General features: G+C 38.6%; 1 protein-coding gene across 2 annotated transcripts in view, besides 4 other annotated features; it reads right to left on the reverse strand.

Moving 5' to 3' along the window:
• SEMA3E (semaphorin 3E) overlaps positions 1-20666 on the reverse strand; it is a 285902-nt gene that overhangs the window by 86900 nt on the left and 178336 nt on the right. For both annotated transcript variants that reach the window (NM_012431.3, NM_001178129.2), the window contains exons 3-4: positions 19106-19165; positions 16345-16464 (exon numbers count right to left, since the gene is read on the reverse strand). In NM_012431.3, coding sequence (NP_036563.1) covers positions 16345-16464; positions 19106-19165 — 180 coding nt within the window. The remainder of the gene's footprint in view (positions 1-16344; positions 16465-19105; positions 19166-20666) is intronic.
• Positions 8825-9768: an enhancer, noted in NCBI's record as "OCT4-NANOG-H3K27ac hESC enhancer chr7:83088278-83089221 (GRCh37/hg19 assembly coordinates)". NCBI's record gives its function as "activates a minimal SCP1, AML or CMV promoter by ChIP-STARR-seq in naive and primed H9 embryonic stem cells {active_cell/tissue: H9 hESC(naive and primed)}" and the evidence as "EXISTENCE:reporter gene assay evidence [ECO:0000049][PMID:30033119]".
• Positions 9769-10711: an enhancer, noted in NCBI's record as "OCT4-NANOG-H3K27ac-H3K4me1 hESC enhancer chr7:83089222-83090164 (GRCh37/hg19 assembly coordinates)". NCBI's record gives its function as "activates a minimal SCP1, AML or CMV promoter by ChIP-STARR-seq in naive and primed H9 embryonic stem cells {active_cell/tissue: H9 hESC(naive and primed)}" and the evidence as "EXISTENCE:reporter gene assay evidence [ECO:0000049][PMID:30033119]".
• Positions 14485-15427: an enhancer, noted in NCBI's record as "NANOG-H3K27ac hESC enhancer chr7:83093938-83094880 (GRCh37/hg19 assembly coordinates)". NCBI's record gives its function as "activates a minimal SCP1, AML or CMV promoter by ChIP-STARR-seq in naive and primed H9 embryonic stem cells {active_cell/tissue: H9 hESC(naive and primed)}" and the evidence as "EXISTENCE:reporter gene assay evidence [ECO:0000049][PMID:30033119]".
• Positions 18393-18652: an enhancer, noted in NCBI's record as "active region_26215". NCBI's record gives its function as "activates an Ori minimal core promoter by ATAC-STARR-seq in GM12878 lymphoblastoid cells {active_cell/tissue: GM12878}" and the evidence as "EXISTENCE:reporter gene assay evidence [ECO:0000049][PMID:35858748]".

Here is a 20666-nt window from a genome sequence, read left to right on the forward strand (position 1 = left end):
GTGGGGTAACTAGAAAACTTATACACCACTTGTGGGCATAAAATAGGTACAATGACTCAAAAATGGTTTAGCAGTATTTACTAAAGTTGAACATATGTATCCTCTATGGCACAGCAATTCCACTACTAAAATATACTAACTAAAAACACACCCATAAGTTCACCAAAAGATATGGACAAGAATGCTCATAGCAGCACAATTACAGCACAATTGCTATAAACAATTAGAATGATCAGAAAAAGTGGGAAAGTAAATTGTGTTATATCCATGTAAATAAATTACAGTAATGAAAACACATGAACGAAAACTACACACAACATAGATCAATCTCAGTATAACTGTTGAGCAAAATAAGCTAACCACACAAAAAACACTTGATGTATGATTCCATTACATAAAATTCTAAATGAGGCAAAACTAATCTATGATGATAGAAATCATAATAGTGTTTATTTTGGGGGTAGTTATTGAAGGGGGACAACAGATTCTGGGGCACTGGTGTTCTATTTATTGATCTAGATGCTGCTTAAATTGATGTGTTCAATTTTTGAAAAAAAATCATAGGTTATCTTTTTTTGTCTGTATACTTTTCTTTATTCATTTTATAAGTTAACAAAACAGGTGTACTTAACGAATGTCTCTGCTGTTTCTGTTATGCTTAATTTATGTTTTAAAGACCAGAAAAGTAAAAACAAATACATATTATCATGTTACCACTAAACCGTTCCAAGAGTTGGCAGAATCTATATAATTAAAGAAAAAAGTTGTCAGGAGAGGGGGCAATAAGCTTTGGTTGTGTTCCCCACCCTAATCTCATCTTGAATTGTAGCTCCCATAATCCCCCTGGTCATGGGAGGAACCAGGTAGAGATAATTGAATCATGGGGGTAGTTTCCCCCATCCTGTTAGTGATAGTAAGTTCTCATGAGATCTGATGACATCATAAGGGGCTCTTCACCCTTTGCTCAGCATGTCTCCTTCCTGCCATCATGTGAAGAAGGACAGGTTTGCTTCCACTTCCACCATGATTGTAAGTTTCCTGAGGCTTCCTCAGCCATATGGAACTGTGAGTCAATTAATCCTCTTTCCTTTATAAATTACCCAGTTTCAGGCAGTTCTTTATAGCAGCATGGGAACAGACTAATACAGGGGGACTTGCAAATTCCTTTTATAAACACTTTAACCAACTTAACCAAAAAAGTGTTTAAAAAAACAAAAATTCACCAAATTTAACTAAATCTTTTACATATTATAATCAAGGCCTGAAATTTTTTAATTTAGACTTAGAATCTTGGAGTTTTACATCAAGGCATAAATGTAACAAACCCATTCATTTATCTACACATTCATTCATTCCATAGTTATTTACTACTAGATTCTAAGCACTTAAGGGTTTTGAGGAGGTGCATATTCCTTCTAGTACTTGAGTAGCAAATGCAAATGCCTCTTATTGCCAGGTGGAGATGGCAAACTGGCAAAAAGCCTGGGTGCAAGTGTGCATTGTGTGCTTGACAGAAACTGTGGAATACTGTTAAGCACATGTCCCATGTGGAAAGTGGGGCTCCAACTACTTAGCACCAACTGGTTCTTTTCATGTGGGTCCATTGAAAATCACAATTTACTATGTGAAACCAACCGGTTTTTAAAAGTATGCTCTTTGCAAGAAAACAAACAAGAAACACTGTCTGTGACAAACAAAGCACATCTGTGAGCTGAATTGGGCGTATTGCTGCCAGTTTCTAACGTCTGATCAAACTAAAGAGACATGAATGCTTGCTGGGTCACAATTATGAGAAGCTCATTTGCCCTTTAGGTGCCAAAGCACTCAAAGCACCACACTCGTTCTCCTTCTTCTGGTTTGCTGTAGCCTCAGGATTAACAGTTGAAAAATAAATTGCTTAATTAAATACATTATGGTTTATTCTTACCATGAAATACTAGGCGGGCATTTGAATGAATGAGATAGAATTATATCCATATGTGTATGTGTATGTATGTGTGTGTGTGTGTGTCTGTGTGTGTGTGTATGAATGTCCATGAAATATTTTGAGTGAGAATCAACAAAATCAGAATAAGGACTGCAAAATCAGAATTAGGAATGCCATGGAAGAGGTGGGCAAAGATGGCTTTGGAGCATTTCACTTTTCCTTATTTTGACTTCTTCCATGTATTTATATTTGTTCAAGTGGGGGAAAAAAAAGCCCTCATAGTGGCTCCCTGTGAATTAAGCCTCCTAGTTCTTTAATTAGTTACAGAGTTCTGGTTCAACATATGCCTCTCCCGCTCCCTCATTCCCTAGAGGCCACCTGCAGGGCTGCTCAGCAACATAAGCATCACGCTGTTTCTCTCAGGGCCTTCTCTTTGCTCACAGGCAAGGTGAGCAGAGTGAAGGTGCAAGAGAGTGAGGTTTCTTACTAACTGCCTCACACACAGGAAGGATGCAAAAGAGTGATCCATAAGTGACATTTGTCAAGAAGTCTACCTTTCTAATAGCTTTCTTATAATCATTTTCAGACAAAAACTAGCACAAGGAATCCTCTTTTCCTTCCCATCAGAAAATCATTTAACTAGCTTTCACTAATAAGATTGACAGGAGAGGAAGGCCAGAAGGAACAATCCCTCTATTCTAGAACATTTTTAAATAACCTTGGATGTTTTAAAATCACAAAAATAATAGACTGCAAGCTTCTGGAGACAGTGTCAGGCTCACCTTTTAATGCCGTGGGGAACACAGCACTGCCTTTTCTATTAGCTGCACTGAAAAGTATCTTTTGATTTCAGTAAAGAAAGCAGAAGAAACAATGTAGAAAATGGCATACTCCAATGGATAAAATGCATAATTTCTTTTAAAGTATTGGTTTCCATTGAATTCTTCTAATGCTAATTTATATCATATATATATATAATTTGAGATGGAGTCTTACTCTGCAACCCAGGCTAGAATGCAGTGGCGCAATCTCGGCTCACTGTAACCTCTGCCTCCCAGGTTCAAGCAATTCTCCTGTCTCAGCCTCCAGAGTAGCTGGGATTACAGGGGCCCACCACCACGCCTGGCTAATTTTTTTGTATTCCTAGTAGAGACGGGGTTTCACCACATTGGCGAGGCTGGTCTTGAACTCCTGACCTCCTGTGATCTGCCCACCTTGACTTCCCAAAGTGCTGGGATTACAGGCATGAGCTGGATATTTATTGGGTAGCTACTATGTTAGTGTAAATAATTATCTGTTTCGCATTTAACTTTCAATATCAACTCCAATGCGTAAAATAATCCCATTCTCCCTACTGAAAAAAAAAAAAAAAGTACCATTGTCAGGTAATCTCTATTTTTATGGCCCGTAATCTCCATTACATTTCTAGCAAAAGACAAAACAAAAGAAACAAACAAAACCATATACAGTAATTAGTCTGCAGAATGAAAAACTCATAGACTGAGACCAAAACAAAACATATTCTGACTTCATAGGGGAATACTCATTACCTTCTAACCACTTACTTGAAATGAAAATATTAAAAATTACCATAATTTTTAAATCAGTAAAACATTTCTATATATTATTTTCACATAAATGGATCAAGAAATTGCAGGCCAGTCATTCTTCACATCATGTGACCAAAAAGTTTATAAAAGTATCTTGGTACAAATTATAATCTGGACATTTTTGTTAACTAAAGTCTAGTTTAATATATAAAAATTATCTGAAAGTATAATGTTATAAAAATGTAAATATTCATATATTTATTCTATTAAATTGGCTATTACCCACTCTAGATTTTTACAAATTATTTTAAAATGGTTATCTTTAATATTTTTATTTTTACCTACTATTAAAGATAATTTTGGGCCGGGCGTGATGGTTCAAGCCTGTAATCCCAGCACTTTGGGAGGCCGAGGCGGGTGGATCACGAGGTCAGGAGATGGAGACCATCCTGGCTAACACGGTGAAAACCCGTCTCTACTAAAAATACAAAAAATTAGCCTGGCGTGGTGGCGGGCTCTTGTAGTCCCAGCTACTCGGGAGGCTGAGGCAGGAGAATTGCGTGAACCCGGGAGGCGGAGCTTGCAGTGAGCCGAGATGGCGCCACTGCACTCCAGCGTGGGCGACAGAGCAAGACTCCGACTCAAAAAAAAAAAAAAAATATATATATATATATATATATATAATGTGTGTATATATATTTGATAAACAAGCAATAATAAATAACAGAAACTTTAAAATAACAGATTTGGAAATCTTCAGAATTTCAGGGGTTTAGAATTGGGTGCAGGAAGAGTTGATATTAAAGAAAGTGGTTTGTAAAATTAAGATATGCATATTTATTTGTGAAAGGACAAAGAATATTAAATGCATGGCTATAATGATCTCAGTTGTGAAAGAGAAAAGGCACATTTCAGTCACATAATGGGTGACTTTTTGAACCTCAAAAACTTACAAGTTTTGTTGAATATCCCAATGAGTTTACTTTGTACTATAAGCAGAAAAAAAAGTTAAGAAACAAATATTTATAAAATACTTTTGAGGAAAACATCTGATTTTAAAATTCATGTATTTGTAGCATGTATGCTTTATTTGGAATAATAATCATGGCCTAAAAATATATTTTCAATATTTACTTAAAATATGGTGTTCAAGCTCTCAGGGATCGATGAGATAACGTGTAACACATATGACTTTAAAAGGCAAGAACATTATGTCTAAATAGTAATCTCCTGCTGTCACATTACAAAATATTTAACTACAGAATACAAGCAACTGGAAGACATCATTTCCAGTCTATAACATTTAACTGTGGGCTACCTTTTAAAAACATTATTTGTGTAAAGTATCTACATATTTTCAGAGAGATTTGTACTCTCAGAGGTATATGTATAACCCTTATGATTTTGAAGCCAATACTATCCAAATAGCTGTGCTGCTACTTTCTGCACTAGAGGAAACTTTTATCAAAACCATACACTGAAAATCACAGAGTACATTGTTGATTATCTTTGAGGCAAAATATATTTGCATGACTAATTTAGCCTGCATACTTAAAACTTAATATAAATATGCTCTAAATAAATATAGACTGAGAAAATATACTGTACCCTGTTAAAATATGGCAGCAGTCTATATTCAAATGCTTATGCCCTCAAGGACAATCAAATTTTCCGAGGTTTGAGCAGAAAAATTCTGCAGATGGCCCACACATTCATCCCTTAATCTTTGCAAGGAGAAATGCAGTTTTCTTTTAAGAGGAGCACTACAAAGTTCTAAAAAAGAACAGCTTCATTTCTCATCTTTCATTCTGGGCCTATGCCTTGCCTCTCCCAGAAACATTTTCTAAAAATACCTGTATTAATGCAACCTTTCTTTAACATGTAAGATATGGAAAGAATACTGTGGTGGGTAGAATGCTTATGATGTTCAAGAATCCCACTCTCAAATATAGCTGTACGACACGATCCCCTTCCTCTGGTGTAGGCACACCTGCGAATACGGTAAGAAATCACTCCTTATACTACTTTATATGGCAAACGTGATGGGATAGTCATTGTCATGATGAAGCTGTGCTGTATGATTCCCTCTTAGTAAACTGAACAGAAAGATTTGCCTGCTGGTCTAGAAGAAGTATGCAGCCATGTTATGACAGGGCCGCATGGCAAGGAACTGCATGTGACCCCTAGGAGTTGACAGCAGCCCCTGGCTGATAGCCATCTAGAAAATGAGGACCTTGGTCTTACAACTGCAAGGAAGTGAATTCTGCCAATAACCTCATGAACCCGGAATATGACCCTGAGCTCCAGAAAGATTGCAACACCTTGATTTCAGCCTTGGGAGACCTTTAGCAGAGGAGCCAACTAAACAGTGCCTGGACTCTCACGTCCCACAGAAACTGTGAGATAATAAGTGTGTGAAGCTGTGTTTTAATCAGCTACATTTTTGGTAATTTGTTTGCAAGAAAGAAAATACAAATAGTAACGTGCTAATATTCTTGTGCTAAAGTCGTCTCATTCTTAAGAGAAATGTTGGCTGTTAAGTAATGAAAACCATTTTAATTTTGCAAGAGTTCAAGGTCTTTGCCAATTCTCTAGAAATATGTGCTTTATACCTAAAACTCTGTTTCTTATTGTCTGAGCATCTACATTCAACACATAATTTCCATTTTCTTTGAGATGTGAGTAAAATCAGAGGTAGACATAAACTTGTAGTAGTTTATATTTGTATCACTTGTTACTGTTTAAAAAGTGCTCTGAGACTTTTGAGAGAATAGCAGCAGGGACACTCATTTTATTCTCCATGAAATCCCCCCATAAAAACAGAGGGATTAAGTAGGATGCAAAATCAAAACCTCATCAACAACGCCTGTAGCAAAAAATAAATAATTTAAGTTTTCTCTACCTGCTATTCTAAGAAAAATCTTCTTTCAGCATTCTTAGACTTTTTATGTTTTTCTCCATATTTCTTTAACGACTCTATTTTATTTATTTATTTATTTATTTATTTATTATTTTTGAGTTGGAGTCTCATTCTTGTTGCCCAGGCCGGAGTGCAATAGTGAGATTTTGGCTCACTGCAACCTCCACCTCCTGGGGTCAAGCGATTCTCCTGCCTCAGCCTCCTGAGTAGTCAGGATTACAGATGCCGGCCACCATGCCTGGCTAATTTTTATATTTTTAGTAGAGATAGGGTTTCACCATGTTGGCCAGGCTGGTCTTGAACTCCTGACCTCAGGTGATCTGTCAGCCTTGGCCTCCCAAAGTGCTGGGATTACAGGCAAGCGCCACTGTGCCTAGCCACGACTCTATTTCTTGATTAAATTAATGATATTATTACATTTATTATGTCACTATTCAGTAATCTCCTTTCTAATTACTTATCCCCTTACTAAAACTGTACCATTGATACTATTAACTATCATTTTAAAACTTTTCTTTTTCAAATGTAATTCGGATTTTGCACTAACCTGATTTGCCTTATATCCAATTTTTCTCTGAGTGCTCATGACACTCCCTAGACATTCTACCACCACCTAAATAATGGCACTTTTCAAGTTATTTTGGGAAAGTGAGAGTGAGAAAAGAAAAGTGAGAGCAGAATGACAGAGACAGACAGAGAGAGAGAGAGAAGACTCTCAGAGGAAACTATTAACTACTCCCCCAGGGTTTAATAATTCAGTCTATTCTGAGAACACCCTCTCCTAGCTCCAGATTCATTCTTTCAAATAACCATAAGTGAAAATGAAAAAATTAAAACAGAAATAAATACTGGACATCTGTTAGATTCTTACAAAAACCTACCCTGCTTCCATAGCTCTCTCTTGCTTGTAAGAACTTTGTATTTCTTCCCAATCAGCAAGAAATAAAATTAGAATTGCTTTTTAATTCCCTTTCATGTTTGACATCAGACAAAATGCTAAGTTACAGAAACTCTCCTGCTGAGCAGCTTCTCACTTGAGTTCAACACTTCCTTTTCTTTCCTATTGCAACAACAGTGTTAAATACCTTCATGATCTCTCATAACGATCATGTAATAGCCTCCTTAAATTTCTCTGCTTTTCATCTCTCCCTGCTTGAATCAATCTTAAATATTATGAATGTCTTGTCAATCAAATACTCTGTTCAAAACTCCATCGTCTCCGTGCTGTCTTTACAATAACACAAAATGCCAATGTGTAGTATTAAAATCTTCCACCAACTTATCCCAGTTTTATCTCCTGCTGTTCTCTAACCAACATAAATTTCTGCAAACCGATTCCATAAATCCCTGCCTCTTAGCTGCTTAATCAAAGTATTCTCCTTGCCTAAATGATTTGTAACTTTTAATTCCCTCATGTAAAATTGCATCAAGCCTTTAAATGGTGTTTTGGGGATAAATCTCATACTGCTTTTATTATCGGATGGTCACCAGTTTCTCTTGTGACATATATATATATAATTTTTTCAAAATATATTATATCTGATATTTAGATAATTATGTGGGATATTATTTCAATCATATAAACATTCAACTATTGGAATTTGAAATAATATTCAATCATATTTAAAGATTCTAATATGACTCAAATATTTCAATCATATTTAATATTTAGGTAATTATGTGATATAAAGTTATTCAATATCATGTGTATGAAGTGGAAGTACACCAAGTTCCAGTTCTGCTAATGATAATGCATCTTACATTGGACAAATCTTTCAAAGAAAATGATGATAAACTATATATATGTATATATATTTATTTATTTTTAAAAACTTCTAGAAGGCACTGGAGATCAATTAAGAATAGACAAAGACTAAAGAGATTTTTCACTTGAGGAAACCCCTTAATTCATGTGGAAATGAATGGCTAGAACTCAAGCAGAAAAATGAGTGGTGAAATCTAGAAGCTGTGGTATGTACCCTTATAAATTATCTTCAACATCCCTGTCCAACATCTGAACCGTATGTGCAAGCAAATGAAAGGTAGTGCCTGGAAAGTTGAAAAAGGTAACTACTGCCCATTGCAAGTTTACATGGGCTAATATACCTTTCAAGTAAACTATGCTGTGTATGGTACATCCAACGGGGTGAGCTTAGTAGCACATTGGAGATATCAGGAGAAATAGTACATGAATTTGAATATAAATCAATAGAATTTTTCCAATCTGAAAAGCAGAGGAAAAGAAGGTTGAATAAAAATGAACTGTGTGTCTTAGATCAATGCCTAGAAGTCTAATAAATATATATATTTTTCTTTTTTGTTATATATATGATTATATGTTATATATAATAATATATATAGTTATATATAACAAATATAAATATATATGTATATATGTATATATATACACATATGTATATGTGTGTGTGTGTGTGTGTGTATATATATATATACACACACTGAAGGAAAGGAGTGGGTAAATGAAGAAATATTATTTGAAGAAATAATGACCAAAATTTACCAAATTAGATGGAAAGAATAACGTTAAGTATCCAAGAATCTCAGTATCCTAAGAAATACAGATACTGATCCCTCCCACTCCTGCAAACATAAAGTCACACTATTGAAACTGTTGAAAACCAATGATAAAGACAAAATCTTAAAAGATAAAGCAATTTTAAAAGGGAAACATCAATAGGAATAAAGCTTTACATTAGAAAGAGATTAGAAGACAAAGCAGTTTGAGATACTGAAAGGAGAAAACAAAACAAAACCACAAAGCAACTATTAACGCAGAATTCTATAACCAAGGAAAATTCCTTTGAAAATAAAGGTGAAACAAAAGCATTTTCAAATAAATGAAACTGAATTTGTTTCTAGCAGATTTGCATCACAAGAGGTAAATATTCTGACTGTGTATATACATACACACGTATATACATAGGTATACTTTGTTGTACACATCTATATATTCTGACCTTACAGTGGCCTGATTTGCCTTCCATATCTCTAAAGTTCTACTTTTATATCCTCTGCATTGTTTCTTTAAAATGAATCAATAAATACACTATGATGTATTTTGGATGTTAGTTAATCTACAACTAGGAGTGGTTAACATTTAAAATATGCTAATTGTCAGGCCTCTGAGCCCAAGCCAAGCCATCGCATCCCCTGTGACTTGCACGTATTCGCCCAGATGGCCTGAAGTAACTGAAGAATCACAAAAGAAGTGAATATGCCCTGCCCCACCTTAACTGATGACATTCCACCACAAAAGAAGTGTAAATGGCTGGTCCTTGCCTTAAGTGATGACATTACCTTGTGAAAGTCCTTCTCCTGGCTCATCCTGGCTCAAAAAGCACCCCTACTGAGCACCTTGCGACCCCCACTCCTGCCCGCCAGAGAACAAACCCCTTTTGACTGGAATTTTCCTTTACCTACCCAAATCCTATAAAACGGCCCCACCCTTATCTCCCTTCGCTGACTCTCTTTTCGGACTCAGCCCGCCTGCACCCAGGTGAAATAAACAGCCATGTTGCTCACACAAAGCCTGTTTGGTGGTCTCTTCACACGGACGTGCATGAAATTTGGTGCCGTGATTCAGATCGGGGGACCTCCCTTGGGAGATCAATTCCCTGTCCTCCTGTTCTTTGCTCCATGAGAAAGATCCACCTACGACCTCAGGTCCTCAGACTGACCAGCCCAAGGAACATCTCACCAATTTTAAATCAGGTAAGCAGCCTCTTCTTACTCTCTTCTCCAACCTCTCTCACTGTCCCTCAACCACTTTCTCCTTTCCACTCTTCAATCTCTCCCTTAATTTCAATTCCTTTCATTTTCTGGGAGAGACAAAGGAGACACATTTTATCCGTGGACCCAAAACTCCGGCACGGGTCATGGACTGGGAAGGCAGCCTTCCCTTGGTGTTTAATCATTGCAGGGACGCCGCTCTGATTATTTACCCACGTTTCAAAGGTGTCAGACCACGCAGGGATGCCTGCCTTGGTCCTTCACCTTTAGCGGCAAGTCCTGCCTTTCTGGGAAAGGGGCAAGTACCCCAACCCCTTCTCTCCTTGTCTCTACCCCTTCTCTGCTTTTCTGGGGGAGGGGCAAGCACCCCAACCTCATATCTCTGCGCCCCAATCCCTTATTTCTGCACCCCAATCCCTTATTTCTGCGCCCCGACCTCTTGTATCTCTGTGCCCCGGCCCCTTATCTCCGTGCCCCGGCCCCTTATTTCTGCGCCCCATCCCTTATTTCCGCACCCCGACCTCTTATCTCTGTGCCCCAACCCCTTTTCCCACTTTTCTGGAAGGTAAGAACCCCCAAACCCATTCCCTCCATTTCTCTACTCTCTCTTTTCTCTAGGCTTGCTTCCTTCACTATAGGCAAGCTTCCACCCTCCATTCCTCCTTCTACTCCCTTGGCCTGTGTTCTCAAAAACTTAAAAGCTCTTCAACTCACACCTGACCTAAAACCTAAATGCCTTATTTTCTTCTGCCATGCCGCTTGACCCCAATACAAACTGGACAGTAGTTCCAAATAGCCAGAAAATGGCACTCTGAATTTTTCCATCCTGCCAGATCTAAATAATTCTTGTCGTAAAATAGGCAAACGGTCTGAGGTGCCTGATGTCCAGACATTCTTTTACACATCAGTCCCTTCCTAGTCTCTGTGCCCAGTGCAACTCGTCCCAAATCTTCCTTCTTTCCCTCCCGCCTGTACCCTCAGTACCAACCCCAAGCATTGCTGAGTCTTTCTAATCTTCCTTTTCTACAGACCAATCTGACCTCTCCCTTCCTCCCCAGGCTGCTCCTCGCCAGGCTGAGCTAGGTCCCAATTCTACCTCAGCCTCTGCTCCTCCACCCTATAATCTTTTTGTCACCTCCCCTCCTCACACCTGGTCCGGCTTACAGTTTCGTTCAGTGACTATCCCTCCCCATCCTGCCCAACAATTTACTCTTAAAAAGGTGGCTGGAGCTAAAGGCATAGTCAAGGTTAATGCTCTTTTTCTTTATCCCAAATCAGATAGCGTTTAGGCTCTTTTTCATCAAATATAAAAATCCAGCCCAGTTCATGGCTCGTTTGGCAGCAACCCTGAGACACTTTACAGCCCTAGACCCTAAAAGGTCAAAAGGCCGTCTTATTCTCAAAATACATTTTATTACCCAATCTGCTCCCGACATTAAATAAAACTCCAAAAATTAAATTCCGGCCCTCAAACCCCACAACAGGATTTAATTAACCTCGCCTTCAAGGTGTACAATAGAAAAAAGTTACAATTCCTTGCCTCCACTGTGAGACAAACCCCAGCCACATCTCCAACACACAAGAACTTCCAAACGCCTGAACCGCAGCAGCCAGGCGTTCCTCCAGAACCTCCTCCCCCAGGAGCTTGCTACATGTGCCGGAAATCTGGCCACTGGGCCAAGGAATGCCCGCAGGCCGGGATTCCTCCTAAGCTGTGTCCCATCTGTGTGGGACCCCACTGAAAATCGGACTGTTCAACTCACGTGGCAGCCATTCCCAGAGCCCCTGGAACTCTGGCCCAAGGCTCTCTGACTCCTTCCCAGATCTTCTCGGCTTAGCGGCTGAAGACCGACACTGCCCGATCACCTCGGAAGCCCCCTAGACCATTATGGACGCCAAGCTTTGGGTAACTCTCACAGTGGAAGGTAGGCCCGTCCCCTTCTTAATCAATATGGAGGCTACCCACTCCACATTACCTTCTTTTCAAGGGCCTGTTTCCCTTGCCTCCATAACTGTTGTGGGTATTGACAGCTAGGCTTCTAAACTTCTTAAAACTCCCCAACTCTGGTGCCAACTTAGACAATACTCTTTTAAGCACTCCTTTTTAGTTACCCCCACCTGCCCAGTTCCCTTATTAGGCTGAGACACTTTAACTAAATTATCTGCTTCCCTGACTATTCCTGGGCTACAGCCACACCTCATTGCTGCCTTTTCCCCCAGTTCAAAGCCTCCTTCACATCCTCCCCTTGTATCTCCCCACCTTAACCCACAAGTATAAGATACCTCTACTCCCTCCTTGGCGACCGACCATGCACCCCTTACCATCTCATTAAAACCTAATCACCTTTACCCCACTCAACGCCAATATCCCATCCCGCAGCACGCTTTAAAAAGATTAAAGCCTGTTATCACTCGCCTGCTACAGCATGTCCTTTTAAAGCCTATAAACTCTCCTTACAATTCCCCCATTTTACCTGTCCTAAAACCAGACAAGCCTTACAAGTTAGTTCAGGATCTGCACCTTATCAACCAAATTGTTTTGCCTGTCCACCCCGTGGTGCCAAACCCATATACTCTCCTATCCTCAATACCTGCCTCTACAACCCACTATTCTGTTCTAGATCTCAAACATGCTTTCTTTACTATTCCTTTGCACCCTTAATCCCAGCCTCTCTTCACTTTCACTTGGACTGACCCTGACACCCATCAAGCTTAGCAAATTACCTAGGCTGTACTGCCGCAAAGCTTCACAGACAGCCCCCGTTACTTCAATCAAGCCCAAATTTCTTCCTCATCTGTTACCTATCTCGGCATAATTCTCATAAAAACACACGTGCTCTCCCTGCAATCGTGTCCGACTGATCTCTCAAACCCAAGCACCTTCTACAAAACAACAACTCCTTTCCTTCCTAGGCATGGTTAGCGCGGTCAGAATTCTTACACAAGAGCCAGGACCACACCCTGTAGCCTTTATGTCCAAACAACTTGACCTTACTGTTTTAGCCTAGCCATCATGTCTGGGTGCAGCGGCTGCCGCTGCTTTAATACTTTTAGAGGCCCTCAAAATCACAAACTATGCTCAACTCACTCTCTACAGTTCTCATAACTTCCAAAATCTATTTTCTTCCTCATACCTGACGCATATACTTTCTGCTCCCCGGCTCCTTCAGCTGTACTCACTCTTTGTTGAGTCTCCCACAATTACCGTTGTTGCTGGCCCAGACTTCAATCCGGCCTCCCACATTATTCCTGATACCACACCTGACCCCCATGACTGTATCTCTCTGATCCACCTGACATTCACCCCATTTCCCCAAATTTCCTTCTTTCCTGTTCCTCACCCTGATCATGCTTGATTTATTGATGGCGGTTCCACCAGGCCTAATCACCACACACCAGCAAAGGCAGGTTATACTATAGTACAAGCCACTAGCCCGCCTCTTAGAACCTCTCATTTCCTTTCCATCGTGGAAATCTATCCTCAAGGAAATAACTTCTCAGTGTTCCATCTGCTATTCCACTACTCCTCAGGGATTATTCAGGCCCCCTCCCTTCCCTACACATCAAGCTCGAGGATTTGCCCCACCCAGGACTGGCAAATTAGCTTTACTAAACATGCCCTGAGTCAGATAACTAAAATACCTCTTAGTCTAGGTAGATACTTTCACTGGATAGGTAGAGGCCTTTTCTACAGGGTCTGAGAAGGCCACGGCAGTCATTTCTTCCATTCTGTCAGACATAATTCCTCAGTTAAGCCTTCCCACCTCAATACAGTCTGATAACAGATGAGCCTTTATTAGTCAAATCAGCCAAGCAGTTTTTCAGGCTCTTAGTATTCAGTGAAACCTTTATATCCCTTACGGTCCTCCGTCTTCAAGAAAAGTAGAATGGACTAAAGGTCTTTTAAAAACACACCTCACCAAGTTCAGCCACCAAAAAGGACTGGACAATACTTTTACCACTTTCCCTTCTCAGAATTCAGGCCTGTCCTCGGAATGCTACAGGGTACAGCCCATTTAAGCTCCTGTATAGACGCTCCTTTTTATTAGGCCCCAGTCTCATTCCAGACACCAGACCAACTTAGACTGTGCCCCCAAAAACTTGTCATCCCTACTATCTTGTCAAGTCATACTCCTATTCACCGTTCTCAACTACTCATACATGCCCTGCTCTTGTTTACACTGTTTTTCCAAGCCATCACAGCTGATATCTCCTGGTGCTATCCCCAAACTGCCACTCTTAACCCTTGAAGTAAATAAATAATCTTTGCTGGCAGGACTATGCTGAATCTCCTTAGGCACTCTCTAATCAGATATCCTGAGTAGTCCCAATTCTTAGACCTTTTATACCTGTTTTTCTCCTTCTGTTATTCCATTTAGTTTTTCAATTCATCCAAAACCGTATCCAGGCCATCACCAATCATTCTATACGACAAATGTTTCTTCTAACAACCCCACAATATCACCCCTTACCACAAGACCTGCCTCCAGCTTAATCTCTCCCACTCTAGGTTCCCACGCCGCCCCTAATCCTGCTTGAAGCAGCCCTGAGAAACATCGCCCATTCTCTCTCCATACCACCCCCCAAAAATTTTCGCCGCCCCAACACTTCAACACTATTTTATTTTTCTTATTAATATAAGAAGGCAGGAATGTCAGGCCTCTGAGCCCAAGCCAAGCCATCGCATCCCGTGACTTGCACGTATACACCCAGATGGCCTGAAGTAACTGAAGAATCAAAAGAAGTGAATATGCCCTGCCCCACCTTAACTGATGACATTCCGCCACAAAAGAAGTGTAAATGGCTGGTCTTTGCCTTAAGTGATGACATTACCTTGTGAAAGTCCTTCTCCTGGCTCATCCTGGCTCAAAAAACACCTCCATTGAGCACCTTGCGACCCCCACTCCTGCCCACCAGAGAACAAACCCCCTTTGACTGTAATTTTCTTTTACCTACCCAAATCCTGTAAAACGGCCCCACCCTTATCTCCCTTCGCTGACTCTCTTTTCAGACTCAGCCCGCCTGCACCCAGGTGAAATAAACAGCCATGTTGCTCACACAAAGCCTGTTTGGTGGTCTCTTCACACGGATGCACATGAAACTAATGATAAAATCTCCCTATATAGATAGTTAACAGCTGAAGTAGTTAAAGCACGGGCTCTCTCCAGGGGCAGCTATTAAGCACTTCAAATACTTCGAATTATATTTGCACCTGAGGGTTAACTAATATAAGGAATATCAGAAATAATATTTTAGTGGTGAAATGGTGTTCTTTGTATGTGGTGGCTTAAAATATTAATATTTTATGGCCACTGCTGCACTTTCATAAATGGAATATAAGAATCATGAGTCTAGCTGCTTAACAACAGAATATCTAGAACTCGATTTTATCTGTGCCTTGTCTTAATGTAGGACTCTGCCTTCCAATGTAGATGAAAAATAACAGATTCTACATGAGTATATTGTTTCATATGCTTCAGGGTAAAATTGTGATATAGAGTGCTTCAAAATATACTTAAAAGTAACGAGAGTTGCGATTCACCCAGCTTACAGGAATAGGTTATATGACTGATCTTTGAGCCTGCTTGCTAGTAAATATTATATGTGTGGCAGGATTCAGTTGGGATTTGCTTTTATTATGCAGTATCACCTAGTGGCAAAGTCTTAGCGGAAGAGATGTATAACTGGCACCAAGTAATATTTATCTTAACTCAGTTTGAAATCTTCCCTCCTCCTGCATTCCCTACCTCACCTGACCATGAGAAAGTAATTACAGAATCAAAAAGTCTTTGCATGTCCCTTGTAAAATATTATATTTTATTTATGTAAATTATATATGTACACACACATACACACCCACCTATATACATATTCCAGTTTGGTGGTTAAATTAATGAAAATATTAATATAACACAATAGAGAACACAGTTTGATGTTAAGAGATGTTCTTAGTGGGCAAATTAAGCAAATAAAATTATTAAGTGAATTGAGTGCATAGCAAATTAATTGGTTCACAGATTTTGTACTTGACAAGAATTTTAAAGGCCCAGAAAGATAATTTCTCTGTCTCAAGCAAACTGATTCAGTACATCGCAAATGCTTTTATCTTTCTTGGGAAGAAATGCTGTAGTCTTTCTTTGAGAACAAGGTTGTTTTAAGCATTGTTTTTATTGACAGCAATGAATGAAACATCTTACCTCCAAATGATATCCAACTCTGATGAAGGCACAAACTGGATCAAAAGCTCCAGTACCACAGGTCAGAAGGTGTGTCCTGTTATAGTGATGCAAAACCCGAACATAATTTGCACATTCACCCTAAAGCAGGAAAAAAAGGGAAGGAATCTATCAGTATAATAAACATGTTTCGTCCTTTTTGATTTTTGTTTTTCCTAGCCCTAGAAAGCTCATGTTTTACCGTAAATCTCTGTTGGGTGAAGGAGGCAAGAGGGGTAGAAGAAAAGAGGACAAGAACTTGGAGAAGAAACTGGGGTGATTGAAACACATTTTGGTTAGCAGTGATGTGTAAATTACATTTTATAATGAGACTGCATCATTTTTCATGTATTCTAGTTTACAACTGAGGAATAAAAAAAGCACTATTCAGAAATTTCTTCAAGTGTAAAAATTCTCATGACAATATGTTCCACTAAGTAATTAAGTTATTCCCAATGCTGTTAGTTTTTTAAGTACAGTATAAACAATGAATCAGCATAAAGTCATTAAAACCAAAAATTTGAAAAAGCATAGTTATTCATATGGAAATATGCAGTCTTTTTTTTTTTTTTTTTTTTTTCCCAAGACAGGGTCTCACTCTGTTGCCCAGGCTGGAACACAGTGGTGTAATTTCAGCTCACTGCAGCCTCGCATTCCCAGGCTCAAGTGATCCTCCCACCTCAGCCTCTGGAGTAGCTGCAACTACAGGCATGTGCCACCATGCCCAGCTAATCTTTTTGTATCTTTTGCAGAAATGGGGTTTCCCCATGTTGCCCAGGCTAGTCTCAAACTCCTGGGCTCAAGCGATCTGCCTGCCTCAGCCTCTCAAAATATGTAGTCTTTAGGGCAAACAGAATTTTAATGTTTTGGAAAGTAAGTCTTATATTCTCACACTCACAAATTCACATAAAGCACCTTCAGAGAGAATTGTTAAGTAAATATGGAAAACTAACCAACAAAAATAACATTTTGTTGCAGGACTATGATAAGATTACTATATTGCTGTAAGAAATAGTAGTAGACTGGGGATCAGCAAACTTTTTCTGTAAAGGACGAGAATGTAAATGTATTTAGTTTGATGAGCTATCTGGTCTCTGTTGCAACTATTCACCTTTGCAGCTATAGCATGAAAGGAGCCATAAACAATACAAAACTAAATGTGTGGGGCTGTGTTCAAATAAAACTTTATTTACAAAAATAGGCAAAAAGCCACCTTCGGCCTAGAAGCTCTAGTTTGTCAACACTGGTATTCAACTCTAAGCTTCTTGAGGGCAGAATCTATTTTACGCATCTCGGCATTTCCCAGTTAATTGAGCACAGCACCTAATACATAACATGCTTAACAAAGTTTTAATATATTCATCAGTAAATGAATTTTATGATCAGTATACTGAATTTAAAAAAATAGTTTACAATAGCTTTCAAAATCAACTTGGCTAAATTAATTTTAGCAAGCATTCTTTTGACAAATTAGGTGTTGCCATTCCATTAAAAATAAATTATGAAATAAATACTAAACTCTTTTAGTGCCCAGTATTACTTGAAATCAATACATGCAATCATCAGTTACTGTCACGTTTTATAAGGACCTGTTGTGATTTCAGCACTTTAAAGTCTATCCTATAACAGTATTAGGAGGAAAAGGCCAGTGGAATCACTTGGCTAGAATGAGGAGTGCACTATCGAATTGATTATCCAGAGCACACAGGTACACTTATTTCTTCAAGTTTGCATTCACATGATATTTTATTCTTTGGGTGACCCATATATTTGGTAGAATCTTTTCATTCAGGCATGGTGAAAATATGTGTTGTTTATTTCCATAAGCACCTGCACTTCCTCTCTTGACACACCGTCACATCTGAGAGGGAACCTATTAGACCACATTTTGGCTCAGCTGAGCTAGATTGACATGGCCTAAGAATATGTTCAATTAGTCAGCATCATGCTGTGGGCTAAGGCAACAGGAATGTGCTGACTCACTCCTTGGCTGTGACCCAGCTGCTACAGAGAATGAGGAGTTGGTATAATGTGTGTTAGTCATTTATATAGTTTTTTTTTTTTTAACTGAAAAAAAGGTTAAGTTCACTTTCACAGGCAGATGTCTAGGACTTCCTCCAGGGTGCATTTGTGTCACAAAATCAGCTAGCCACTGCTCGCATGTGAAAGTTCTATCACTGATGTCTTAGTGTGTTAGGGACTGTGTCTGGGTGCTGATACACAGCATTCTGCCACTCACACCCAGCAGGGAAACTACAGAAAGAGAGAATAATGCTTCTTAAAGTAGAAGAGACCCTAAAAATATTTAGGAATAGGTAAAATGTGTTTATTGCCTCTCTCAAACTTTTTGTTTCTTCATTCATTTCTAATTTACTAAACAATGTAAAGTGAAATCTCACAAAGAATGTGCTTAACTGTTCCTAGAAAAAAAAAATTACCTGCAATTATTTTTCTGCCAAATACATGAGAAATAAGCATTAGTATAAGGAATGTATAAACCCAAGTTGATTAAGATATTAGAAAACAAAATAAAAACCAAGATCTCAATGGCATCTCTGCTTCAACTCTACATTGAAATTAATTTTACATAATTATGTTTTATATGCCTATATATTTTTTCTTCATGAACCAAATTGCATACATACTTTTATAAGAGCAAATAAAAATTTCAGTGATTCAGTTCTTTGTGGTTAACTAGGGATATAATTGATGATTTGTTTAATTTACAATGAATCATACTTACCGCATCTTTTCCCTTCATTATGCATTCTTCCATTTTTAGAGCTGTACTCGGCCAGTGTATCTAAAATAAAAGATAATGTACTATTATGACAACTGCATATAAAAATAAACCACACTGAAAACCATTTCACTTTCTTCTACAGTTCAAAACATTTCCTTTTTTTTTTTTTTCTGTTTTCTGATAAGATACAGTGGGTCTTTGTGTTATTCACAGAATTATTTGCATAATTAAGAAACGTATCGCTGGGCTTTTACTTTATGATAAATCCTTTTTTTTCTTGAATATTTTTGAAAGCTCACTTCAAGTCTTGGCCCTTCAGAGGACAGCCATGCCTTAACTAGCCCTTTCCCATGTTAAACCTGAGTGGTGCTCCAACTCAGGCACCTCCTGCAGTTTCTTGTGTTTTTACTACTTAACACAGAACCTGCTGTGTGGTGGGCTCTCCTAATGTTTGCTGCATACAATGATTAAAGGATGAATGACTCTTTAAATGCTGACTTATAATGTATCATCCAGTAATACACCATACTGTCTCTTTGATTATTTATTTATTTATTATCTTTTATTTTTTTGAGGTGGATTCTGGCTCTGTCACCCAGGCTGGAGTGCAGCGGTGTGATCTCGGCTCATTGCAGCCTCCGCCTCCTGGGTTCAAGCAATTCTCCTGCCCCAGCCTCCCGAGTAGCTGGGACTATGGCCCACCCAGCTAATTTTTTTGTATTTTTAGTAGAGACAGGGTTTCACAGTGTTAGCCAGGATGGTCTCGATCTCCTGGCCTCGTGATCTGCCTGCCTCGGCCTCCCAAAGTGATTATTTTTTAAAAAACATTGTTTAACTCTACCAGTTTCCAACTGGGTATCCAAAAGTTTTAATTGTATTTTAAGATTGTTGGTTTCTTCCTTTATACATTCCTTAAAACTTATATTTTAAGTTTGTTGGTTTATTCTCTGATAAGAAGAATATATCGAATTTTTCTTTTTCACCTCTAATAGTATCTAGCACTTTCCTGAGACCACAAGCAGAAATCAGTTATACTTGTTAACTGGTTCCACAAATTTCTAATTGCAAAACTTAATTTATTTTTGGAAGAAATTTTTTACTTTATCACTTTCTTTCCTTTTCTTTTCTCAGACTCCTTTTGGTCCCCTTTTTGCTTAATCTATAGAATTGATTGTACTATGTGCCAGGCATTGTGTTTTGAACTTTATTTTATTTTTTCCTTCTTTTGCTTTATCAACTTACGTGCAGAGGTTTGAGTTTGTTATATTACTCAATTCATAATTCATTTTCATCAACACTCTTAAAAGGTCCCTCTTTTATTTTAGTTAATTATTTATTTCCTTCTTCCCATTCCATGTTTTATTTCCATCCCCCAGGAGGCAACTATTGTATCCTGTTACCAGGTGCCTTCTTTGTATGTATTCTTAGAAAGTGTATACTATTGCTTTTTGTGCATATATTTCTAATTTATGTAAATAGTATTGAAGTTAAATCTCATCTCTTTCTTATCTTTTTCACTAAGAACTGGGTTTTTGAGTTCCCTCAATAGTCCTATGCACAC

The sequence above is a fragment of the Homo sapiens genome, chromosome 7 (assembly GCF_000001405.40).
Source record: "Homo sapiens chromosome 7, GRCh38.p14 Primary Assembly".
NCBI classification, from domain to species: domain Eukaryota; kingdom Metazoa; phylum Chordata; class Mammalia; order Primates; family Hominidae; genus Homo; species Homo sapiens.